Genomic DNA, 27,059 nt, shown 5'->3' on the forward strand with positions numbered 1-27,059 from the left:
TCCCAACGTTTGAATGCTTCTCTAGAGCCTGAATCAAGGGAGAACAGTCTAAGTCATCAGTGGGATCATGGAAATTCACTCCTGGCAGAAAAGCATGATCGAATGTCTGTCTACTTGATCCTAATGTTTTTCATTGCTTTCCTCTTTTTCTGTGATTATTAAGATGGCATCTCTTCCTCTGGCTCTCGAGCTACGATTCAAATTCTCCTTATCAGACGCTCCAAAGAATGTAGCAAAAGGGGGCTGGGTGCAGTGGCTCAAGCCTGTAATCCCAGTACTTTGGATGGCAGACGTGGGCAGATTGCTCCAGCCCAGGAGTTTGAGACCAGCCTGGTCAACATGGCGAAACCCCATCTCTACAAAAAATTAGCCTGGCATGGTGACATGCACCTGTAGTCCCAACTACTGGGAAGCTGAGGTGGGAGGATCGCTTGAGCCTGGGAGATCAAGGTTGAAGTGAGCTGTGATTGTGCCACTGCACTCCAACCTGGGCACCATTGGACTTCAACCTGTATGACAGAGCAAGACCCTCTCAAAAAAATAAAAATAAAAAATAAGGCAAAAGGAAAATGCTTCCTTCCTTCAGGTGCAAGTATGGCACTGAAGTGCAATAGACTTTCTAGGTATATCCCTAGAAAACAAGAAAATGGTAAGAGGCAGTAGATTTGAACTACTATAAGATCAATTCTGAAATATCAATGTACCTCATGCTAGACAACCTTATGACTTGAAAACAAAATAATATTTGAAATGGAAATGGCCTCAGTTCCACCCCTGGTGCCCACATAGCATAGTGAACCTGCCCCTGCAGCATTGCCCATGAGTGCTAAGATCCTGTGCCCATTTGCATGTCTTCCTTAAACAAAAGACCGCCTTAGTAAGAAATTAGTAAACCAGGGAGATAATCAACTTATCCCCCAAAAGATTTAAGCCTCTCATTTTGTTTAACCTTCATTGGGGATTTTAAATAGAAAACTAGGGCCCGGCAGGGTGGCACATGCCTGTAATTCCAGTACTTTGGAAGCCCAAGGTGGGTGGGTTGCTTGAGCCCAGGAGTTTGAGACCAGCCTGGGCAACATGGCAAAACTGTCTCTACAAAAAATACACAAAAATGAGCCAGGCATGGTGGTGCATGCCTGGAGTCCCAGCTACTCAGGAGGCTGAGGCAGGAGGATCACTTGAGCCCAGGAGATCAAGGCTGCAGTGAGTTGTAATCAATCGCACCACTACACTCCAGCCTGGGCGACAGATGGAGACTCTGTCTCAATCCATCAATCAATAGAAAATTGGTAGCAAATATATGGTCTCATTTTACATTGGGATTACAAGAGCCCACAAGTGCTTAAAGGTCATATTTCAGCACCCCGGATCCCAACCCCCAGCCCTCTCCCAGACGTGGCCAAGACCCTGGCTAACAGAATGCTTCCTCAGTGGCCCCAGGACACTGCGACTTTACCAGAGGCACAGCACTCATCTGGATGAGGAGGTTGCTCTCTTCCATGTCGCCATACTTCAGCTGGTAGGGTTTGTATGGATCATACACAGCATCCACCAGCTCCGTGACTTTTACCAGATTGTGTTCATCTTTAGGGAATCAGAAATGTAAAACGATAATGAACAAAGAATCTGAAATTAACTGTGGGAAAGCAACAATCAAGAGGCGCTCTACTAGAACTTTCCCCATTTGATCTCCAGAGGGGACTATATTTTGTTAAGCAGCTTTTATCATTCATGGAAGCTTCTCCTACAATCAGTTCAGCAAATATCTGGATAAATTTGGGCTTTGCACATTGTTTGCCTAAAGCACTATTAAAGACACCAGCCCCCTGAATCCCATGACCCACCACAAATAAGAATCCCTTCAAAAGATAACCCTCATTGGCCGGGCGTGGTGGCTCACGCCTGTAATCCCAACACTTTGGGAGGCCGAGGCGGGCGGATCAACTGAGGTCAGAAGTTTGAGACCAGCTTGACCAACATGGAGAAACCGAAACCTTGTCTCTACTAAAAATACAAAATTAGCTGGGCATGGTGGCACATGCCTGTAATCCCAGCTACTCGGGAGGCTGAGGCAGGAGAATCACTTGAACCTGGGAGGTGGAGGTTGTGGTGAGCTGAGATCACACCATTGCATTCCAGCCTGGGCAACAAGAGCGAGACTCCATCTCAAAAAAAAAAAAAAAGATAACCCTCATCAAGGTCAGGTTCAAGAATTGCCACAGAGGCTGGGCTCGGTGGCTCACACTTGTAATCCCAGCACTTTGGGAAGCGGAGGTGGGCGTATCACCTGAGGTCAGGAGTTTGAGACCAGCCTACCCATTATGGTGAAACCCGATCTCTACTAAAAATACAAAAATTAGCCGGGCGTAGTGGCGGGCACCTGTAATTCCTGCTACTCGGGAGGCTGAGGCAGGAGAATTGCTTGAACCCAGGAGGTGGAGGTTGTAATGAGCCAAGATCATGCCACTGCACTCCAGCCTGGGTGACAGAGTAAGACTTCATCTCAAAAAAAAAAAAAAAAAAAGAACTGCCACAGAGAAAAGGCAATACAGGAAGAACAATTCCCATGCCACATGTTCCTAGGACTTCCTAGAAACAGAATACCCCCACTGGCAGGTCGTGGTGGCTCACACGTGTAATCCCAGCACTTTGGGAGGCCGAGGTGAGCGGATTTCTTGAGGTTAGGAGTTTGAGACCAGCCCTGGCCAATACTGTGAAACCCCATCTCTACTAAAAATACAAAAAAAATTTAGCTGGGCATGGTAGCATGCATCTGTGGTCCCAGCTACCTGGGAGGCTGAGGCAAGAGAATTCCTTGAACCCGGGAAGCTGAGATTACACCACTGCACTCCAGCCTGGGTGACAGAGCGAGAGTCCGTCTCAAAACAAAAACAAAAAACAAAAGGATACCCCATAGCCCAGGCATTCCAAAAATTCCTACGTTCAACCACATAAAAATGTAAAACACGCTGTATCAGAATGTAAATGTGCATATTCTACAACACAGTAATTCAATTCCTGAAAATCATCTCAAAGAAATCAACAAATACACAGAGACAGAAGGATGTTCATGGAAACATGGCTCAGAATCAGAAAGCTTTGGACACAGTCTCAACAGGGGATTAGTAAATGTAATAGCCTACTTACTGGTATCCTCACATCCTTCTGGTCCCCTCCTTCAGCTAGTTTTATTATTACTTCTACAGCCTCATCCTCCTTCCCTCTTCCTCTAGCTCCCAGCCTTCTCTCAGTTCCTAAAAGCTTCCTTCTGTTCACATGCTGATCCTCTGTCTGGAAGGACCGGCTTCGTCCCTTCCCCTCTTTATCTAGTTAACTCCTACTTCTCCTTCAATACTCACTCAGCTAAAGTCTGCTGCTCTTGATTTCTGGCACCAATTTTACAAGGTTTTGTAGAGATTAGGTAAAGTAATGTGGGTCTAACATGGTAATAATCAAATCTGCACATGTATAGAATCCAAAGTGTTATTTCTTTTTTCTTCTTCTTTTCTTTTTTCTTCGAGACAGGATCTCACTCAGTTCCCCAGACTAAGGTGCAGTGGTCCAACCACAGGTCACCATTGCCTTGGCCTCCCAGGCTCAAGAGATCTCCCCACCCCAGCCTCCTGAGTAGCTAGTACTACAGGTGTATGCTACTATACCTGGCTAATTTTTTTTTTTTTTTTTTTTTTTTGTAGAGATGGGGTATATGTTTCCAGAGCTGATCTTGAACTCCTAGAATCAAATGACTCCCTCACCTTGGCCTCCCAAAGTGCTGAGATTACAGGTGCGAGCCCCCATGCCTGGCCCAAAATGCTGTTTCTGAATGGTGAGTTGAGAATGATTTCTTTTTCCTTCCTTGTTTTTTCCTAGATTTTTCTATAATGATAAAGTCAACCTAAATTTTTAAAAATTTACTTTATATTGCATAATCTTTTATATTTTGAATTGTATTAGGTACATGTATTAACTATTAAAATAATAGAAAAAATGTTAAGGGTAAAATTAAAAGTTAGGCAATATATTTACAACATATTTGATAAGCAATGGTAAAAATTCCTCACTATATAAGGATCTTTCAGGAATATGCACCAAATTTGTAACAGTGGTTAAAGTGGGATTATAGGAGAGTTATTTTGTGTCACAGATTTCTATATCATTAATTCTTATAATACATATTTTGTTGCTTTTTATAATATATTTAATAATATATTATTTTAAATAAATTGCTCTTATAAATTAACCAGAAATAGGTTAAACTCCCAAACAGAATAACAGGCTAAAGAATAAGCAATTCAAAAGAGAAAAGATACTTTTTATCATGTAACTTTCAAACTTGCTAATAACCAAAGTGAAAAACTAAAATGGCATATCAGTAATTGTCTAAGAACCTGGCAATGACAGGAGAAAAAAAGAATCTAGTGCTGGTGAGGGGATGGCAACACAGGCACCTTCGTTCACTACTGATAGATACAAAAACAGGTCTAAAGAACAAAATGTGTCAGGAGGCTGAGGAAGGAGAATGGCATGAACCCAGGAGGTGGAGGCTTCAGTGAGCCGAAATTGTGCCACTGCACTCCCGCCTGGGCAACAGAGTGAGACTCCATCTCAAAAAAAAAAAAAAAAAAAAGAACAAAATGTGACAAGTATCTTCAAAGTTTTCATTTCTGAGCAACTGCAAATTTAAACTTATCCTAAGGAATAATCGGAGCTAGGCTCAAAAACTAATGTATAAAACAGTTCATTATAGTTTTATATATCATAGTGATTAAAAATGGTAGTAAATTGGCCAGGTGTGGTAGCTCACACCTGTAATCCCAGCACTTTGAGAGGCCAAGGCAGGAGAATCACTTGAGCCTAGGAGTTTGAGATCAGCCTGAGCAAAATAGGAAGACCCTGTCTCTACAAAAAATTTTTAAAAATGAGTCAGCCTTGGTGGCATGTGCCCGTGGTCTCAACTACTCAGGAGACTGAGTTCAGAGAATCACTTGAGCCCAGAAGGTTCAAGGCTACAGTAAGCTGTGATAGTGTCACTGCACTCTAACCTGGGCGACAGAGCAAGACCCTGTCTCAAAAAAACAAAAAAAAAATAAAGACAACAAAACTATGTCTTAGGAAAACATTTAATGACATAAGAAAATGCCCATTATATTATTTTGAGCATTTCAAAAAATGAAAATATAAGACTGTCTACAACCAATATTTTAAGATATTTTGTATATATTATATAACATATATTATTACATGTAAATATATAAAAGTATTTAATATATTTAATATGTTATGTATTTATTACATAATATTTATATGGTAGATATTAAGTATATTAATATTTGTGAACAATGTATATTTATATTTGTATTACTGGAAGCAAATAATGTTGTTGGTGGCTCTGACTGATGAGTTTATGGATTGTTCTTGCTCTCTTTTTATTTTTGTGTGTGTTTCCAAAAAATTTTTAAGTTAAAAGAAAAACTAAAACTCTTTTGGAAAACCTCAGGGAGAATCATTAGTAATCTAGGTCAGGTGTGGTGGCTTACACCTGTAATCTCAGTACTTTGGGAGGCCAAGATGGGTGGATTGCTTGAGGCAAGGAGTTTGAGACCAGCCTGGCCAACATGGTGAAACCTCGTCTCTACTAAAAATACAAAAAAATTAGCCAGGTGTGGTAGTGTGTGCCTGTAATCCCAACTACTCAGAAGGCTGAGGCAGGAGAATTGCTTGAACCTGGGAGGCAGAGGTTGCAGTGAGCCAAGATCACGCCACTGCACTCCAGCCTGGGCAACAAAGCAAGTCTCTGTCTCAAAAAAAAAAAAAAAAAAAATGAAATCTAAAGTCCCAGCCAGGCATGGTGGCTCACACCTGCTGTAATCCCAGCACTTCAGGAGGCTGAGGCGGGTCGATCACCTGAGGTCATGAGTTCGAGACCAGCCTGGCCAACATGGCGAAACCCCATCTCTACTAAAAAATACAAAAATTAGCCTGGTGTGGTGGCACACACCTGTAGTCCCAACTATTCAGGAGGCTGAGGCAGGAGAATTGTTTGAACCCAGGAGGTGGAGGTTACAGTGAGCCAAGATCACACCGCTGCACTCCAGCCTGGGCGAGAGTGAGACTCGTCCCATGGCTGACTAGCAAAGCACTTCCAGATCTGTCTCAAGGGTGGTTCTCTTCCCCACTACATCCATCCCCAGGGGAAGGATGCAGCCATTCCTTGCTCCACCTTCGTCCCACTGTGCTGCAGCAACTCGCCTTAGCCCAGCTCTCTCAACTCTCCTTAGCCACTTCCACAAAGGCATCACGGTCCCTTGGAAGCTTCCCCATCCACTGGGCCTTTCCCATAACTAAGGCCTGACCTGTGAGCATGCCAAAAACACCGATGAGTCATCAGGAATCCGAACAATAAACACACTCCCTGGAACGTACAAGGCAATTATACACAGATGTAATTAAAGAGAAGAACTATTAAATAAACCAAGTCAGTGACACACAGCCGCCGAACAGCAGAACAAGGCCTTCCTGAAGCAATTTCCTGATTTGACAGCAACATGCGTCACGGGGTCTGTGTTCTTTAAAAATTTATAAAGCTTTTAACATAGACGGGAAAGAGCTTGGAGAGCATCACACACCAGGCACTGTTTACCCAAATGGGAGTAAGGGGTGCTCTGCTCTCAGTCGGCCACCGGGGAAAGCCCATTTTCTCTACAACCACCTGTAGTCCTAACACAGCTCCCCTGCCCTGGGACACTTGCTGTTGCTCCTTCAAAAAGCCCCTGTAGGCTGGGCACAGTGGCTCATGCCTGTAATCCCAGCACTTTGGGAGGCCGAGGCGGGCAGATCACCTGAGGTCAGGAGTTCGAGACCAGCCTCAACATGGAGAAACCCAATCTCTACTAAAAATACAAAATTAGCCAGGCGTGGTGCTGCATGCCTGTAATTCCAGCTACTTGGGAGGCTGAGGCAGGAGAATTGCTTGAACCTAGGAGGTGGAGGTTGTGGTGAGCCAAGATCGTACCATTGCACTCCAGCCTGGGCAACAAGAGCGAAACTCCATCTCAAAAAAAAAAAAAAAAAAAAAGCCCTTGTAGCCTGTTTGTTCTCTAAAACTGACTTTTGAGGTTGAAATGTCTGAGGCTTCGTGATGACTTCAAAGGATAAGCACACTTGCCTCCTGGTGTAATCTGCCGCCAACTCTTTGCCATAACATCTACCTGCCTCACTGTGATGCCTCTTTTATATCCCAAGCCCCACAGAGGTGTCCATCACTTCCCCAGAGCATGTAAGGCACCCAGGCAGCACTGGAGCCAGGCAAAGATATTAAACAACTATTTCCTTGATGGCAATGTTTTTTCATGGAAAAGCCCTCCACATCTGCTGAGAAGGAAAACACCGATCCCTTCCATTTCTGTAAAATCAGTCATCTGAAAAGGCAAACAAATCCAGGCCCCAGAAGCTTCAGAAAGAGCGAGTAAAGACAAGCTAGAGAACTGGCAGGAAGGAATGTTTACGTAGGTGGGGGAGCAGTGCCATCTCCAAGCCCTTGGCGAAGTGGGCGGTGGCGTCGTAGAACTCCAGCAGCCTGGTGAGCTCCTGCTCGGGCCCTGCCCTCTCCACGCCGTTGCTGAGGCAGGAGGGCAGCGAGGGCATGAGGGCCCCCAGGGTCTGAATCAGCAGCACCATTACCACCTCGTGGGGCTTCTGGAAAACCTGCAGTGAGAGAGAGGTGTACCTGCCTTAGCACATGGAGCCAAATAGGAGCCCACCTTTTTTAAAAAACTTTTTTGAGATGCCAGGCACGGTGGCTTATGCCTATAATCCCAGCACCTTGGGAGGCCAAGGAAGGTGGATCACTTGAAGCCAGGAGTTCAAGACCAGCTTGGCCAACACGGCAAGACCCTGTCTCTACTAAAAATACAAAAATTAGCCGGGTGTGATGGCGCATGCCTGTAATCCCACCTATTCGGGAAGCAGAGGCAGGAGAATCACTTGAACCCGGGAGGTGCAGGTTGCAGTGAGCCAAGACTGTGCCACTGCACTCTAGCCTGGGTGACAGAGCGAGACTCTGTCTCAAAAAAATAAAAATTAAAATTAAAAATTAAAAACTTTTTTGAGACAGGGTCTCACTCTGCCACCCAGGCTGAAGTGCAGTGGCATAATCATAGCTCACTGCAGCCTTTAACTCCCAGGCTCAAGTGATCTTCCCACCTTAGCCTCCCAAGTAGCTGATACTACAGGAACACTACCACACCTGATTAATTTTTTATTTTATTTTATTTTTTTGTAGAGACGGGGTCTCACTATGTTGCCCAGGCTAGTCTCAAACTCCTAGCCTCAAGTGATCCTCCTTCCTCAACTTCCCAAGGTGTTGGGATTACAGGTGTGAGCCACATCACCTTTTAAAGAAGTATAACTTTTAAAGAAGCTATCTCCTGGGTCATCTCAAAAGGATCTCCCCTGATAGATGAAAAGTGATCTAGTTTAGAGCTATAAGCCCAAAGTTTTCCTCATGGCAAATGTGAACATGCTCAGAAAGTAAACTGGCAAGACTTGGAACTTGCAACTTGCCTAGAACAACTGGCAAGTTCATGTCTATCAGTGGCCCCAAGTGTCTAGTTATTTTCAAATCTAACGAACACATTCATGTGGCATTTTTTTGATGGTCACCAAAAATTAACTAGAGAGAGGACTATGGGCCAGGTGTGGTGGCTCATGCCTGTAATCCCAGCACTTTTGGAGGCCTAGGTAGGTGGATCACTTGAGGTCATGAGTTCGAGACCAGCCTGACCAACATGGTCAAACCCCGTCTCTGCTAAAAATACAAAAAAATTAGCTGGGCATGGTGGTGCACGACTGTAATCCCAGCTACTTGGGAGGCTGAGGCAGGAGGATTGCTTGAACCTGGTAGGCAGAGATTGCAGTGAGCTGAGATGTTGCCACTGCACTCCAGCCTAGGTGACAGAGCAAGACTCTGTCTCAAAACAAAAGAAACAAAGAAAAGAGAAGAACTGTAAACCAACATGCCTTATGAATACACATGTAAACATCTTCAAGAAAACACTAGTAAGCTGAGTTCAGCAGCATATTAAAAAACATTGTACACCATGATCAAGTAGGATTCACCCAGGAATGTGAGAATGGTTAAACTAAACAAAAATGGATCAAGGCCGGGCACAGTGGTGGCTCAGCCCTGTAATCCCAGCACCTGGGAGGCCAAAACAGGAGGATCACTTGAAGTTAGGAATTTGAGACCAGGCTCAAAAAATAAAAATATTATAAATCTCTAATTTTTTAAAATGAATCAATGTAATACACCACATTAACAGAATGAAGGGAAAATACATGATCATCTCAATTAATGCAGAAAATATATTTGACAAAATTCCATACCCTTCATGAGAAAAACACTAAACTAGGAATAGAAGGAAACTTCCTCCACATAATAAAGGCCATATATGAAAACCCACAGCTAACGTGATACCCATTGGTAAGAGATGGTAAGAACAGGAACAAGATAAGGATGCCTGCTTTTGCCACTCTATTCAACAAAGAACCAGAAGTCCTAGCCAGAGCAATTGGACAAAAAAAAAAAAAAAAAAAGAAAGAAAGAAAGAAAGAAAGAAAAGGCATCCAAATTGAAAACAAGAGTTATCTCTGTTCACAGATGACATTATTTTATGTGTAGAAAATCTTAATCCACAAAATACTTTTAGAGTTAATAAATTCAGGACAAGTGCAGAGTGGCTCATGCCTCTAATCCCAACACTTTGGGAGGCTAAGGTGGGAGGATCGCTTGAGCCTAGGAGTTTGAGACCAGCCTGGGCAACAAAGTAAGATCCTGTCTCTACAAAAAATGTTCAAAAATTAGCCAGGTGTGGTGGTGTGCACCCGTAGTCCCAGCTACTGGGGAGGCTGAGGTAGGAGAATTACCTGAGCCCAGGAAGTGGAGGCTGCAGTGAGCTGAGATTGCACCACTGCACTCCAGCCTGGGCGAAAGAGCAAAACTCTGTTGCAAAAAAGCAAACAAACAAACAAAAAAAAACCAGGCTAGGCGCGGCGGCTCACGCCTGTAATCACAGCAGTTTGGGAGGCCAAGATGTGGTGGTGGGCACCTGTAATCCCAGCTACTCGGGAGGCTGAGGCAGAGAATTGCTTGAACCCAGGAGGTGGAGGTTGCAGTGAGCTGAGATAGCGCCACTGCACTCTAGCCTGGGCAACAGAGAGAAACTCTGTCTCAAAAGAAAAAAAAAAAACAAAAAACAGCTAAACTGCTGAGGACTCTCCAATTTGTGTTTCTTCCAACCACCTACTGGATGTCACCATTAGGATGCGTCACTCTCACTTGGAATTTAAAAGCAGTCAGAATTGGAATTCATTGTTTTGCCACTGACCTCCCCAGACCTGCTTCCTCCAACTTCTGTGTTCCCGTCAGTAACATCTCCATTGAACCAGGATGAAAACTGCCCTCTGACTCTCTGTTCTTGTGGTCCATTCATCAGTTACCAGGTCCTAACAACTGTTTATTCTTCTTGAACTTCAACATTTCCATCACCATCCTCTACCAAAGGTTCTTACCTGTCTCCAGCATAGCCTCATCAGTTCACCCTCTAGACCACCACCAAATTCGTTATTTTTAAATGTTATTTTTAAAATTCAAGGCCTAGCACGGTGGCTCACACCTATAATCCCAGCACTTTGGGAGGCCGAGTGGGCAGAGCACTTGAGGCCAGGAGTTCGAGACCAGCCTGTGCAACATGGTGAAACCCTGTCTCTACTAAAAAATACAAAAATTAGCCGGGCATGGCAGCATGCACCTGCAGTCCCAGCTACTCCAGAGGCTGCAGCATGAGAATCACTTGAACTGGGGAGGCGGAGTTTGCAGTGAGCCCAGATCATGCCATTGTACTCCAGCCTGACCAACATAGTGAAACCCCATATCTACTAAAAATACAAAAAAAAAAATTAGCTGGGCATGGTGGCACATGCCTGTAATCCCAGCTACTCAGGAGGCTGAGGCAGGAGAATTGCTTGAACCCAGGAGGCGGAGGTTGCAGTGAGCCAAGATCATGCCACTGCACTTCAGCCTGGGTGACAGAGCAAGACTCTGTCTCAAAAAATAAAAAATAAAAAATAAAAAAAACCTGCTACAACTCAATAATAAAAAGGCAAATAACCTGTTTTTTTTTAATGGACAAAAGACCTGAATAGACATTTCGCAAAGGAAGATGCACAAATGGCCAATAAGCACGTGAAAAGTTCCTCAACATCCTTAGTCATCAGGGAAATGCAAATAAAAACCATGATGAGATACTACTACACACCCACCAGCATGGCTGAAATTAAAGAGAATGTCAACACCTAATTTTGGCAAGGATGTGGAACAACCAGAACTCTCACACACTATGTAGGAGTGGAAAAAGTACAACCACTTTGAGCAATGTGGTTGTTTCTTTTCTTTTTTTTTTTTTTTTTGAGATGGAGTCTCACTCTGTTGCCCAGGCTGGAGTGCAATGGTGCGATCTTGGCTCACTGCAACCTCCACCTCCCAGGTTCAAGCGATTCTCCTGCCTCAGCCTCCCGAGTAGCTGGGATTACAGGCATCTGCCACCATGGCCGGCTAATTTTTTGTATTTTTGGTAGAGACAGGCTTTCACCATGTTGGCCAGGCTGCTCTCGAACTCCTGACCTCAGGTGATCCGCCCACCTCGGCCTCCCAAAGTGCTGGGATTACAGGCATGAGCCACCACACCCAGCCATCTTTCTTTTTTTTGAGACAGGGTCTCACTCTGTCGCCCAGACTGGAGTGCAGTAGAGCAATCATGGCTCATTGAAGCCTCAACTTCCCAGGCTCAGGTGATCCTCCCACCTCAGCCTCCTGAGTTGCTGAGACTACAGGCATGTGCCACCACGCCCAACTAATTTTTGTATTTTCTGTAGAGACAAGATTTTGCCATATTGCCCAGGTGGGTCTCAAACTTCTGGGCTCAAGCAATCCTCCTGCCTTGGCCTCCCAAAGTGCTGAGATTACAGGTGTGAGCCACCACGCCTGGCTCGGCAGTTTCTTACAAACCTAAACATACACCTACGATTTGACCCTGCAATTCCACTCCTAGGTATTTACCCAAGAGATGGGAACATGTGTCTACAAAAAAAAAACCTACAGAACAATATTCAAAGCACCTTTATTCATAATTGCCCAACACTGGAAACATACCAAGTGTCTACCAATAAGAAGTGTCAACAGGCTGGGTGCAGTGGCTCACGCTTGTAATCCCAGCACCTTTGGGAGGCCGAGGTGGGCAGATCACCTGAGGTCAGGAGTTCGAGACCAGCCTGGCCAGCATGAAGAAACCCTATCTCTACTAAAAATACAAAAATTAGCTGGGCATGGTGGTGTGTGCCCGTAATCCCAGCTACTCATGGGGCTGAGGCAGGACAACCACTTGAACCTGGGAAGCGGAGGTTGCAGTGAGCCAAGATCGTGCCACTGTACTCCAGCCTCGGCAACAACAGCGAAACTCCGTCTCAAAAAAAAAAGTGTAAACAAACAGGTATATTCACACCATGTAACAGTATTCAGCAACAGAAAGGAACAAACTAGTGATACAAACAACACGAGCAAATCTCAAAAACACGCTGAGTGAAAGAAGCCTACAAAAGATGAAATGCTGTCTGATTCCATCTAGGTGAAATTCTAGAACACATTAAACTAACTTATGATGGAAAAAATCAGGGCAGTGGTTGCCTTAAGGGTGCTGGTGCACAGACCAACTGGGAAGGAGCATGAGGGAACTTTCCAGGGCGATGGTGATATGGATGTTCTGGATCCTGAAAGGGGATTAGGCTACCCAGGTATTTGTAGTTGTCAAATGAATGGGATGGCATATTTAAGATCACTATGGCTGGGTGCAGTGGTTCACTCCTGTAATCCCAGCACTTTGGGAGGCGTGCAGCCCAACAGTGGGAGGATCACTTGAGCCCAGGAGTTCAAGACCAGCTTGGGCAACATGGCAAAACCCTGTCTCCACAAAAAATACAAAAATTAGTTGGGTGTGGTGGCACGCACCTGTAGTCCCAGTACTCAGGAGGCTGAGAGGGGAGGATTACCTGAGCCCAGGGAGGTCAAGGCTGCAGTGAGCCATGATCATGCCACCGTACTCCAGTGGGGAAAACAGGGCAAGACCCTGTTTCAGAAAAAAAAAAAAAAAGATTGTATTTCACAATTTTACCTAAAAAAAATGTAAGTAAACATTGAACTCTAGTTAATAATATGTATGGTCTGAAGTGAATGAAGTTTGCAACTTACTCTGTTTTTTTTTTTTGAGATGGATTCTCGCTCTGTTGCCCAGGTTGGAGTGCAGTGGCACAATCTCGGCTCACAGCAACCTCCACCTCCCAGGTTCAAGCGATTCTCCTGCCTCAGCCTCCCAAGTAGCTGGGATTACAGGCGCCTGCCACCACGGCTAGCTAATTTTGTATTTTTAGTAGAGATGGGGTTTCACCATGTTAGCCAGGCTGGTCTCGAACTCCTGACCTCAGGTGATGTTCCTGCCTCGGCCTCCCAAAGTGCTGGGATTACAGGTGTGAAACACCACGCCCAGTCTTGTAACTTATTTTGAAATGAGTAAAACAAATAAGATGATTGACTGGGCACTTTGGCTCATGTCTGTAATCCTAGCACTTTGGGAGGCTGAGGCGGGAAGATCACTTGAGCCCAGGAGTTCGACACCAGCCTGGGCAACATAGTGAGACCCCATCTCTGTTTAATTTAATATTTTTATATAAAAAAGAATACAAATAAAAATAATTTTAAAAAATAAGATGGATTAATGAACAGACAGAGACAGGGATAGACAGGCAGATCTGCAATAAAGCAAATAGAGCAAAATGCACACTGTACAACGTAGGAGGTGGCTACATGGGTATTCACTGTACAATTCCCTCAACATTTTTATATATTGGAAATTTCTCATATGAAAATGCTAAGGGGAAAAATCTGAAGGAGACACATGTGCCCTGGCTCCTGTGTGCTATACCGACCTTCAGGAGGGGACAGCCCAACTATTATGCTTCCATCCTGAAAAGAAAATGGGCCACAGGCCAACAGTATAAATCAGCAGAAACTCATGTCTCCCAAAATCTAGGATGAGGCCCAAAGAGAAGTCTGAGAAGTCTAAGTTCTTTTTCTTAGATGACGAAAGGCATTCGTATGTATGGACATGAACTGTTTTTATCCTTGTGATACAAGAAGTAGTAGAAGAGGCAAGAACACATGAATAATTTTTTTCTTGGCCGGGCACAGTGGCTCATGCCTGTAATCCCAGCACTTTGGGAGGTCGAGGTGGGTGGTCATTTGAGGTCAGGAGTTCGAGACCAGCCCAGCCAACATGGTGAAACCCCATCTGTACTAAAAACACAAAAATTAGCTGGGAGTGGTGGCGGATGCCTGTAATCCCAGCTACTCAGGAGGCTGAGGCAGGAGAATTGCTTGAACCAGAGAGGCGGAGGTTGCAGGGAGCCAAGATTGTGTCCCTGCACTCCAGCCTGGGTGACAGAGCAAGACTCTGTCTGAAGAAAAAAAAAAAAAAAAAAGAAATATTCTTCTTAAGAAAAATAAAATAAAGTCAGGCATGGTGGCTCATGCCTGTAATCCCAGCACTTTGGGAGGCCAAAGTGGGAGGATTACTTGAGGCCAGGAGTTAGAGACCAGCCTGGGCAACACAGTGAGATCCTTATCTCTACAAAAAAAATTTTTTTTAATTAGCCAGGCATGGTGGCACATACGTGTATTCCTAGCTACTTGAAAGGCTCAGGCAGGAGGACAGCTTGAACCCAGGAGGCCGAGGCTGCAGTGAGCCATGATCATGCCACTGCACTCTAGCCTGCATGACAGAGCAAGACTCTGTCTCAAACAAAACAAAACAAAACAAAATCCTAAGAATGAATTAGGTTAGTTCAAGGAAAAAGAACAAGGATGGAGAAAAGTGCTTTAACCAACAACTTGAATGACATGACCCGGTATAAGGAATTCTCTCCAACCTTAGTCAAATTCATTCCAGCAAATGACTGATGAACATCTGAAGAGTGATTCACAACTATAGTAAAAAATAAAATATGGGGAACGTGACACTAAACCACTCGTAGATGACCTGCTTCTAGGTTGGGGTTTCGTACATAGCAGAGCAGCTCCCTCACTGCAATCTATTTCAATAGCTCTCTATCTGAGTGCTATTGAAAATCAGCCCTCAACACAAGGGTTTGGAGAAAAAAAATAAATAAATAAGAAAAAAATAAATAAAATAAGCCACACTAGAAACAGGCCCAGTAAGTCATTACTGCAAAGTAAGACAGGCTCTTCCCCTGCTTACAAGAGGTTCTACTGTGCCTCCTGTCTCAAGGCAAGAGAACAACGGTTTAAAACCTTTATGGCTGGAAATGCCTAGAGACTTGAGGAAAGTAAATGATGGATAGTTGCCACTTGAAACAAAGTTCCTCTGTCTCTCCTCACTCCTAGTCAGGGGGTACCTTTAAAATTATCTCTTCCCCTACTTCTTGGTGTATCATGAGAACAAGGGAGACTCACTTCAGGTAGGTAAATTTTACCTGAAGTAAAGATAAAAACATTCCTGTTCATTCGAACACCACCTGACGAGGGGCCTCCTGCTTTTAGATGGGAAGAAAATGGCCTTCAGGAATTCCACAGGCTCCCTTGCTGGACAACAGGCGGCATTGTCACATTAGGTCCTATTTAAGTTATAGATAAGAGTGGTAAGAAGAGTTTCAGTGGAGACCTAAAGATTTCACTGACGTGGATTTCTAAGCTTATCTTTTAAACTTAAACCATTTAACTGGTTATCGTTTTTTCTTTTGTTGTTTGTTTGTTTGAGACAGTCTTGCTTGCTCTGTTGTCCAAGCTGAAGTGTAGTGGTGCGACCATAGTCACTGTGGCCTCAACCTCCTGGACGTAAGCAATCTTCCTGCCTCGGTCTCCTTAGTAATTGTGCCACCACACCTGGCTAACTTTTGCATTTTTTGTAGAGTTGGGGTTTCACCGTGTTGGCCAGGCTGGTCTCGAACTCCTAGGCTCAAACGATCCGCCCACTTCGACCTTCCAAAGTGTGGTGATTACAAGTGTGAGCCACCGCACCCGGCCTAACTGGTTATTTTTTAACCCCTTGAATGACAGCAACAAACGGGGAAGTTCTTTGAGCTGTGCTCTGCAGTTGAGGGTGGCCACTCCCGAGGCAGTCACCCGTTCCCTTGTCACCACAGACTCTGTTCTCCCTAGAACAAAAATGAGCTGTTACCTGTGTAGCCCACTGGATTTGTGTGTGCCAAGCACCAAGCAAGGCATCATAGAGTCCGGTAAGCTGCCGGTCCAGGGATAGGTCACTTTGACACAGCTCTTGCCAGGCTGCTAAAAGCTGCACCTGCAGAGACAGAACAAAGGGAACCTTATTGGGTACGTCAACATAGGTTGCCTGTGAACACTGCCCTGCCCTGCTACCCAGCGTAATCACGGATTGCTCAATGGGCTCACTGGGCAGCCCAGTGAGGTCCATTCACTTCAAAGAAAGGCAGGAAAAAAAAAAAAACATTTGCAGTTATCTGCACTGATTCACAGCTTTAATCTGTCACCCTGCGGATGTGATCCCCTCTCCATTTATCCTGCCCTAAAAACATGTAATGTGCAACCACTTGGCACACCATCACTCTTCTGAATAGATGTTGGGGCAAGAGCGGGCAGACATGTATGTTTAAGCTTCATGTCCTAACATCACTGCTTAAAAGACACAGAGCACTGGACTTGAAGGAATTAAGGTCAGTTCAGGAAGCTGTCAAGTTTTTTGGCAATCTAACTTCAGCAAACCTAGAAAACATAAAATTCCAAGCCAGGTGGAGTGGCACGCGCCTGTAGTCCCAACTCCTCACAAGGCTGAGACGGGAGGATCACTTGAGCCCAGGAGTTCAAGGCTGTAGTGCACCATGATCGGATCTGTGAATAGTCACCGCACTCCAGGCTGGGCAAAATAGTGAAACCCTATCTCTAAAGAAAAAAAGAGAAATTCTTACTGCCTTCTGAGGGTGTAATAAAGCTTAAGACATAAATCTCCCTTAAAAGACAAAAATGAGAATAAATTAAAACAACGTTTCAAGTCTATAATGAATCCAGCTGTAAACAGAAAAGAGAATGAAAACGGATAACTTTTTCCAACTGGCAATTAAACAAATCCATATGCTAGACCAAGAGCACCCCCTACTGGCTAACTAAGAGAAAAACAGCCAGAGGGCAAGGAGACAAATGTTCTTACCTTCTGAATTATGAACCTGCGATTCTGTGACCCAGAGTTATGAGCATTCCACAACTGCACAACTGTCATCGCGCACAGCTTCTTACCTTGTGACACTTGTAGTAGTAGGCCAGGAGCTGGGGCATCCGGTCAATTTCAGTAAACACCTTCACAAACACTTTGGACTGATCTAAAGAACATACAATGTATATATACTGTTACCAGCCTTTCTGGTGTAGACATGAGAAAAAACTCACCAGGATGAAGGTGGATATATGGAAGCTAGTATTCACAAGTTCCTGCCTAGATACTGAATTAACTCATGCATGAGGATCATAAATTTGAAAAATAAGCATGACGTGAAAACCAGATACTGCAAGGTATTCCCCACTGTTCCTCACAGAATTCATATTTTAACATGATACTGAGAGGTTATTTATGTCTTTCAAAATTCCTACTTCGATTATACCAGATGGGAACTTTAAAAAAGCAAACACACTGAACTGCTATATGTCAACATATCTGGTGGTTTGAGGAATAAGTAAATAATTTGGGCTGGTCGCGGTAGCTCATGCCTGTAATCCCAGCACTTTGGGAGGCTAAGGCAGGCGGATCACCTGAGGTCAGGAGTTCGAGACCAGCCTGGCCAACATGGCAAAACCCCATCTCTACTAAAAGAAAAACAAAAATTAGCTGAGCGTGGTGGTGCACACCTGTAATCCCAGCTCCTTGGGAGGCTGAGGGAGGAGAATTGGTTGAACCCGGGAGGCAGAGGTTGCAGTGAGCCAAGATCGCGCCACTGCACTCCAGCCTGGCCAACAGAGCAAGACTCCCTCTAAAACAAAGCAAAACAAAAAAACAAAACATAAAATCAAATAATTTGGTAACTATTAGCATTCCACACATAACAATGGATTCTAAGACCCAAGTTATGGGCTTAATATCAAGTAGTTTCTGACATATTTCCCTAAGGGCAGAGGAAATGACTGGGCAAAGCACTTGCTTCCAGGCTCACCGCTGGACAGACAGGAAGGTGGGTTTCAGTGCAGTCTCTGAATAGTGTGCACAGCAGCGCCACCTCTGGCTCCTGTCCGCCCCCTTCTGGCCAAAATGTACATGCCACAGCCTTAGAACTATATCAAAAGAAGGGAAAAAAAAGCCTTGAGCTAACAGGTCTCCAAACTTCTTATATTTGCTCTGTTCCCCTTCACTTCTGGGAAGCCCAATAAACTGCTGAGAAGGAAATGTTGTAACAGCAACCGCTGTGGGACACCCAGCTAAGCGCTGGAGACCTGCCAGTGGAACTTGACTTAATGGGCAGAAATCCATGAGTTAGAAAACGAATATTTGCCTTTAAAATGCTTATTATTTTCATAAGAACACTTAAATAAGTGAATCTTCCTGTTACATTTAAAATTATTCCATAGGCCAGGTGTGGTGGCTCACACCTGTAATCCCAGCATTTTGGGAGGCTGAGGTGGGAGGACTGTTTGAGCCCAGGAGTTCAAAAATGTCCTAGGCAACACAGGACCCCTCTACAAAAAATAGAAAAAATTAGCTGGGCATGATGTGCACCTGTAAACCCCAGGAGGCTGAGCTGGGAGTATCACTTGAGCCTGGGAGGACAAGGCTGCAGTGAACTGTGATCACATCACTGCACTTCAGCCTGAGTGACAGAGCAAGATTCTAGCTCAAAAAACAAAATTCTATAAATTGGGTTTGACCAGTGAGAAGCAAAAAAATTAATTAAAATAATTCTATAAAAAGTTGCTTCAGTGTATCAGCTGAATTCATTGGTTATATAAAATGAACTGGGCATGTATACTTGGCTATACTCACATTGTCATTTTAGGAGATGGAAAAGGGGAACATGTTGGGGATGAACAAATTTATCAGAGAATTCCCTTTAAAAACTGTTAGCTAGGCCGGGTGAGGTGGCTCATGACTATAATCCCAGTACTTTGGGAGGCTGAAGTGGGTGGATCATCTGGGGTCAGGAGCTCGAGACCAGCCTGGCCAATATGGTGAAACCCCGTCTCTACTAAAAATATAAAAAATTAACCAGGCGTGGTGGTGCATGCCTGTAATCCCAGCTACTCCAGAAGCTGAGGCGCTTGAACCCAAGAGCTGGAGGTTGCTGTGAGCCGAGATCACACCACTGCAGTCCAGCCTGGGCAACAGAGTGTAGACTCTGTCTCAAAAAAAATAAAAAGTAAAAACTGTTAGATAAAGAACTACCTCAGCCTTCCAGGAAACATGGCTGATTATAAACAGCACATTACCTGTGGGGCGGGGGAACCCTTCCTGATGCTTGCCAAAATTAAGATTAATCACCAAAAGAAAACATTGTTTTATCTGCGTTGAAGCCAGGAAAATATCTGTACTACATATTTCAGAGAATCCCAACTAGATATCTAATCACTTTGGGCCACAATGGGTGGGGAAGCTGGTAAAAGTCTGGGCGCTAAGGGTGGTGCAGAACAGTACAAAGGGCCAAAGACTGGGGGCCAAGGGGGCTTGGGCCAGGCATGGGAGGGAGGGCTGTTTCCACTGCGGCCCAGCAGAGGAGGCAGCCTATGGAGCTCAAAAGCGCCATTTTCGCCTTCTGAATCCATGTCCTGCCTAGAGTCAAGCCTGATTCAAATTTGTGCACAAAAGCTGTCAAAAACTGCTTATCTCCAAAACCAAACCCATGATGCTGAACCACCAGGCATCACTCAAATCCAACACCAGCTCCCAGAAGCCAGCTCACTCAGAAGGAAACAAACAAAAAAGCTTAAATGCATGGAGCCACCACCTCTCCATCCCCACTCCCACTCCCCCAACCCCACAGAACTGGATGTAACCCCAACCAGAAAAGTGAGCTCTGTAGTAGCCACAAATTCACAAGAGAATGTGAGGAACAAAGCTCCTAGATGGTAACTTTCCAACCCCCCAGCTCCAGCCTTAGAATTCTGTGAATGAAGAAAAGACTCAAAATAAAGAATTAACAAATGAGGAAGAGAGGGAATTACAGGGCTGGAGATGAGTACTGAGGCCATTCTCTCTAGCTAACTGAAGAGCACAGCGGAGAATATAAACTTTCAATCAAGGGCTAAAGGAAAGCGCTCTTAAACAAGGAGGGGCTTCCAAGGAAATTCCACTATTTTTCAGTGAATACCAGGCCCAGAACAAAAGCACTATCACACACAAACATGAATCAGCAGAAACAAAGAAAACTCCACCACGGTACCTATGCACTCAATAAATTGGACTACAACAAAATTAAAAACTTGGGGCCGGGCACAGTGGCTCACGCCTGTAATCCCAGCACCTGGGGAGGCTGAGGCGGGTGGATCACGAGGTCAAGAGATTGAGACCATCCTGGCCAACACAGTGAAACTCCATCTCTACTAAAAATACAAAAATTAGCTGGGTGTGGTGGCACACGCCTGTAGTCCCAGCTACTCGGGAAGCTGAGGCAGGAGAATCGCTTGAACCCGGGAGGCAGAGGTTGCAGCGAGCCGAGATCAAGCCACTGCACTTCAGCCTGGAGACAGAGCAAGACTCCATCTCAAAAAAAAAAAAAAAAAATTAAAAACTTGGGCATCAAAAGATTTTATCAATAATAGAATGAAAACACAATCCATGGAATGGGAGAAAATATTTGCAAGATATATTCAATAAAAGAATAATATCCAGAATATATGAAGAATTTCTACAACTCACCAGCAAAAAACCAAATAACCCAATATAAAATTGGGTAAAGGGCCAGGCACCCTGGCTCACGCCTGTAATCTCAGGACTTTGAGAGGCTGAGGAGGGAGGATTGTTTGAGTCCAGGAGTCTAAGACCAGCCTGAGCAGCATAGCAAGACCCTATCTCTACAAAAAACAAAAAATTAGCTGGGCGTGGTAGTGCACACCTGTAGTCCCAGCTACTTGGGAGGCTGCCGTGGGAGGATCACTTGAGCTTGGGAGGTCAAGGCTGCGGTGAGCCATGATTGCACCACTGCATTCCAGCCTGGGTGACAGTGCAAGACCCTGTCTCAAAAAACAACAAAACAAAACAAAAATGGGGAAAGGATTTGAATAGACATTTTTCCAGGAATATACAAATAGTCAATAAGCAAATGAAAATACACTCAATATCATTAATCATTAGAGGAATGAAAATCAAAACCATAAGATACCATTTCATACTAATTAGTATGGCTATAATCCAAAAAAAAACAAAAAATGACAAGGGTTGGAAAGGTGTGGAGAAATTGGAACCCTTGTGCATTGCTGGTGGTAGTGTAAAATGGTGCAGCCACTATGGAGAACAGTATAACAGCTCCTCAAAAAATTAAACATCAGATTACCATATGGCCGGGTGTGGTGGCTCACACCTGTAATCCCAGCACTTCGGAAGGCCAAGACGGGCGGATCACTTGAGGCCAGGAGTTCGAGACCAGCCTGGCCAACATGGTGAAACCCCATCTCTACTAAACATACAAAAATTAGCTAGGTGTGGTGGTGCGCACCTTTAATCCCAGCTACTCGGGAGGCTGAGGCACAAGAATCGCTTCAATCTGGGTGGCAGAGGTCACAGTGAGCCGAGATCATGCCACTGCACTCCAGCCTGGACAACAGAGTTAAACTGTGTCTCCAAAAAAAAAAAAAAAAAAAAAGATAGGCATATGATCCAGCAATTCCACTTCTGAGTAGATCCCTAAAGGAATTGAAAGCTGGAACTCAAACAGACAGATCATGCCACTGCACTCCAGCCTGGGCAACAGAGTTAAACTGTGTCTCCAAAAAAAAAAAAAAAAAAAAAAAGATAAGCATATGATCCAGCAATTCCACTTCTGAGTAGATCCCTAAAGGAATTGAAAGCTGGAACTCAAACAGACACTTGTACACCCATGATCATTCTAGCATTCTTCACAATAGCCAAAAGGTAGAAATAACCTAAATGTCCATCAACAGATGAATAGATAGAGAAAATGTGGTAATATATGAGATGGAATATTATTCAGCCTTAAGAAAGGAAATTTTGACACATGCTACACCATGGATGAGCTTTGAAGATGTTACGCTAAGCCATAAAAGGAAAAATACTATGTGAATCCATTTATAGGAGGCATGTAGAGTAGTCAAATTCATAGGGACAAAAGTAGAATGATGATTGCTGGCAGGTGAGGGTAGGAGGAATGGACAGTTGCTGTTTAATGCGTATGAAATTTCAGTTCAGAAAGATGAAAAAAGTTCTGGAGATGGATGGTGGTGATGTTTGCACAGCAACGTGAATGTACTTAATGCCACTGAAATGCACACTTAAAAATTATTAAAATGGTAGATTTTGTTACATGCATTTTGCCACAATTTTTTAAATTTTTTTCTAAAAAAGAACACTTCCAAAGATTTTCCCTAAGAAAGAGAAGAAAATTTTAGGCAATAATTGCTTCACACTCTCAAAGAAATTACATGTCCTTTCTTTAACAGGACCTAAGGCTTCAGGAGGCTGAGGTGTGAGGATCACTTTAGGCCAGGAGTTCAAGACCAACCTGAGCAATATAGCAAGACCCCATCTATACAAAAAAAAAAAAAAAAAAATAGGCTGGGCACGGTGGCTCACGCCTGTAATACCTGCACTTTGGGAGGCCAAGGCAGGCAGATCACCTGAGGTCAGGAGTTCAAGACCAGCCTGGCCAACATGGCAAAACCCCATCTCCACTAAAAATACAAAAAATTAGCCAGGTGTGGTAGCGCATGTCTGTAATCCCAGCTAGTTGGGAGGTAAGGCAGGAGAATCGCTTGAACCCAGGAGGCAGACATCATGCCACTGCACTCCACCCTGGGTGACAGAATGAGACTCCATCTCAAAAAAAAAAAAAAGAATCTAAGGTATTACAATGAGATACAAAGGGAGGTTGGCAGAGCTAAGGAAAAAAATTAGGAAGTAAATCATGACATAACAAAAATTAAAAATTAATTAGAAGAACAAAGAAAACAAAACCTATTTTTTTTTTTTTGAGACAAGGTCTCACTCTGTCACTCCTGGGCTCAAGCGATCCTTCTGCCCCAACCTCCTGAGCAGCTGAGACTACAAGCGTGCGCTACCATGCCTAGCTAATTTTTTATTTTTTGTAGAGACGGGGTCTTGCTGTGATACCTCGGCTTGTCTCAAACACCTGGGCTCAGGCGATCCTCCCACCTTGACCTCCCAAAGTGCTGGGATTACAGGCATGAGCCACTGCACCCGGCCGAGAACAGATACTTTATTTTTTTAAATAAGTAGAGAGTTTATTTGGGTGAAGTTTGAGGACTGCAAACCAGAGTCATGGATTCACGCTGCCCTGCATATATGCTCCGGAACAGATACTTCAGAAAACCCCATCAGTCAAATGAAAAACAAGCTTTAGAAAAACCACACATGGCAGGAGGGGACTGAGAGGGAGCAGGCAAACATCCAAAAGAGACCAGAGAAAATATGATATATATGGAGAGGGAAAAAGGAGAGCTAATGAACAGATAGTTGATGTTCTCAAAGACAGAAAAGAGAACAAATAAAACAGAAAAAAAAAATTTTTAAGGAAGGTGATTTTCTATAAATGAAGATATGAATTGGTAGGTGAAAAGGGCTGACGCTGGGTCCTGGAAAAGTTAAAAATTTTCAAAACTGAAAAAGAACCTAGAGAAGTTACTAAACTACAAGGTAAAAGAATCTTATAAGCCATAATTTGGCAAACTATGCGCCAGCAGGCCAAACTGCCATCTGTTTTTGTAAATAAAGTTTTACTTGGCCAGGCATGGTGGCTCGCGCCTCTAATCCCAACACTTTGGGAGGCCGAGGTGGGCAGATCACTTGAGATCAGGAGTTCAAGACCAGCCTGGACGACATGGTGAAACCTCATCTCTACTGAAAATATAAAAATTAGCCAGGTGTGGTGGCGCACGTCTGTAATCCCAGCTACTCGGGAGACTGAGACAGGAGAATCGCTTGAGCCTGGGGGGCAGAGGCTGCATTGAGCTGAGGTCACGCCACTGCACGCCAGCATGGGGAACACAGCGAGACTTCGTCTTAAAAAAACAAAAAAAATTTACTGGCACACAGCAAAGCCCATCCATTTACGAGTGGGCTTTTGTGCCACAACTGCAGAGGTATCTGTGAGAGAGACCACAAGGCCGCCAAATACTAATATTTATGATCTGGCCCTTTACAGGAAATGTTTGTCAGTCCTGTTATAACTATTCAGGGAAAAGAAACAAGCTACATACAAAAAAAAAATAATAGGAAGAAGCAGCAGGCCAATCTCATACTTATCAGAATATAGAGGGAAATGCATTCGCACTAGAAGACAGAATTCACAGAAGTAGCATTTCACCTTTTGCCTTTACAGAAGTATATTTGGCTGTTTTGTGAGACATTCTGCGGGAAAAGAAAAATAAATATAGATGGCAGAAGACAATGAAGAATTCTGAAGGAGAAAGTGTGTGACCCAAGAATTCCAAAAGCAGTTATTGCTTTCTACACATAAAAGCAATAGAAAGACACTCCTGGCCGGGCGCGGTGGCTCATGTCTGTTAATCCCAGCACTTTGGGAGGCCGAGGCGAGGGGATCACCTGAGGTCAGGAGTTTGAGACCAGCCCGGCCAACATGGTGAAAGCCCGTTTCTATTCAAAATACAAAAATTACCTGGGTGTGGTGGCACACGCCTGTAATCCCAGCTACTCGGGAGGCTGAGGCAGGAGAATCACTTGAACCCAGGAGGTGGAGGTTGCAGTAAGCCAAGATTGCGCCACTACACTCCAGCCTCGGTGACAGAGAAAGACTCCGTCTCAAAAAAAAAAAAAAAAAAAATTACAGAGTTCCTTCTAATCTATGTAATTCAATCACCATTAAGACATTCTAAAAACTGAAGACTTACAAGGCCTTATCTTTATAGAGAGATATACACAGAGATGAGAAGCAGCTAGCACTCACCTACAGCCTGAGAGGTGAATGCCGCTACAATCTGTGGACTGGCTAGGGCCTCCAGCCTGTTCTTCAGTGCCTCCAAGTGCACACACTTTTCTGAGTAGTCTGGTGTATCAACAAGCATCATTAAGCTGTTCTGCATACCTGTTAGCTTGGCAGAAATCACAGCTATGTCCTAGAAAAGACCAGAATAGAGAATATTTATTTTAAATGATCCCTACTGCCTCAATTGGGAATAGATAAAATACATGAAAAGGCAACTCATCAAGTATGAAAATGGGGCTGGGCATCGTGGTGGTTCATGCCTGTAATCCCAGCACTTTCGGAGATTGAGGCAGGAGGATCCCTTGAAGCCAGGAGTTCAAGACCAGCCTGGTTAACATGGCAAGATCCAGTCTCTACAAACAGTAAAAATTAGCTGAGTGTGGTCATGCGCACCTGTAGTCCCAGCTACCCAGGAAGCTAAGGCAGGAGGATCACTTGAGCCTGGAAGGTGGAGACTGCAGTTAGCCAAGATCACACCACTGCACTCCAGCCTGGGCAACAGAGAAAGACCCCGTCTCAAAAAAAAAACAAAAAACCTGTACTCAAATAAATGCAAATTAAATTAAAACAATAAAGTGTCATTTTCCTCCTAACAAATTGGAAAAGTGTTTGAAAAATTATAATAGCTATTGTTGGTGAGGGTACAAAGAAAAAAGACAATCTGGTATCATAAATTTAAATTTATACTGTCTTTCTGGAAGGCAATTTAGCAATATGTGCTAAGAGTTTTAAAAATATTCACATCCAGGCTGGGCACAATGGCTTATACCTATAAATCTCAGCATTTTCAGAGGCTGAGGCAGGAGGATTGCATGAGGCCAGGAGTTCAAGACCAGCCTGACCAATATAGCAAGACCTTGTCTTTACAAAACATTTTAAGAAATTGGTCAGGCAGCCGGGAAGGGTGGCTCACGCCCCTGTAATCCCAGCACTTTGGGAGGCCAAGGCTGAAGGATCACCTGAGGTCAGGAGTTTGCAACCAGCCTGGCCAACATGGTGAAACCATCTCTACTAAAAATACAAAAATTAGCCAGGCATGGTGGCGTCCACCTGTAATCCCAGCTACTCGGGAGGCTGAGGCAGGAGAATCGCTTGAACCCAGGAGGCAGAGGTTTGCAGTGAGCCGAGATCATGCCACTGGACTCCGGCCTGGGCAACAGAGCAAGACTCTGTCTCAATAAATAAATAAATAAAAGATAGATTGTTGAGTGAAAAAATAAAGTGAAAAGCAGTGTTCACAATGAGCTTTGTGAGGAAAAAAAGGGGCAGGGAACATAAATATGTATGTGCATATCTGGAAGGATGGGCATAAAGTTGATAACAGGGCTTGTCCGCACAAGAAAAATTAGCCCCCGGCCGGGCATGGTGACTCACGCCTGTAATCCCTGCACTTTGGGAGGCCGAGGAGGGCAGATCACCTGAGGTCAGTAGTTCAAGACCAGCCTGGCCAACATGGTGAAATCCCATCTCTACTAAAAATACAAAAATTAGCCGGGTATGGTAGTGCGCGCCTATAATCCCAGGTACTCGGGAGGCTGAGACAGGATAATCACTTGAACCCAGGAAGTGGAGGTATCATGCCACTGTACTCCAGCCTGGGCTTCAGAATGAGACTCCGTTTCAAAAGAAAAAAAAAAAAAGAAAAATTAGAGGACTAAGGTGGGGGTCAGGGTTAGGAAAAAAACTTATTTTTTGCAGTTTATTCCTGTGTAATAAATTTGTTCCCATGTGCATTTGTAACTTTTTAAAAAAACTGACTGATAAATCATTCATTTTGCTTTACAATT

General features: G+C 44.1%; 1 protein-coding gene across 2 annotated transcripts in view, besides 1 other annotated feature; it reads right to left on the reverse strand.

Moving 5' to 3' along the window:
* COG7 (component of oligomeric golgi complex 7) overlaps nucleotides 1-27,059 on the reverse strand; it is a 64,697-nt gene that overhangs the window by 28,751 nt on the left and 8,887 nt on the right. For both annotated transcript variants that reach the window (NM_153603.4, XM_017023870.2), the window contains exons 4-8: nucleotides 25,234-25,402; nucleotides 17,393-17,475; nucleotides 16,302-16,424; nucleotides 7,506-7,704; nucleotides 1,457-1,584 (exon numbers count right to left, since the gene is read on the reverse strand). In NM_153603.4, the coding sequence (NP_705831.1) occupies nucleotides 1,457-1,584; nucleotides 7,506-7,704; nucleotides 16,302-16,424; nucleotides 17,393-17,475; nucleotides 25,234-25,402 (702 nt within the window). The remainder of the gene's footprint in view (nucleotides 1-1,456; nucleotides 1,585-7,505; nucleotides 7,705-16,301; nucleotides 16,425-17,392; nucleotides 17,476-25,233; nucleotides 25,403-27,059) is intronic.
* Nucleotides 7,025-7,570: an enhancer, noted in NCBI's record as "H3K27ac-H3K4me1 hESC enhancer chr16:23435589-23436134 (GRCh37/hg19 assembly coordinates)". NCBI's record gives its function as "activates a minimal SCP1, AML or CMV promoter by ChIP-STARR-seq in primed H9 embryonic stem cells {active_cell/tissue: H9 hESC(primed)}" and the evidence as "EXISTENCE:reporter gene assay evidence [ECO:0000049][PMID:30033119]".

The sequence above is a fragment of the Homo sapiens genome, chromosome 16 (assembly GCF_000001405.40).
Source record: "Homo sapiens chromosome 16, GRCh38.p14 Primary Assembly".
NCBI lineage: Eukaryota > Metazoa > Chordata > Mammalia > Primates > Hominidae > Homo > Homo sapiens.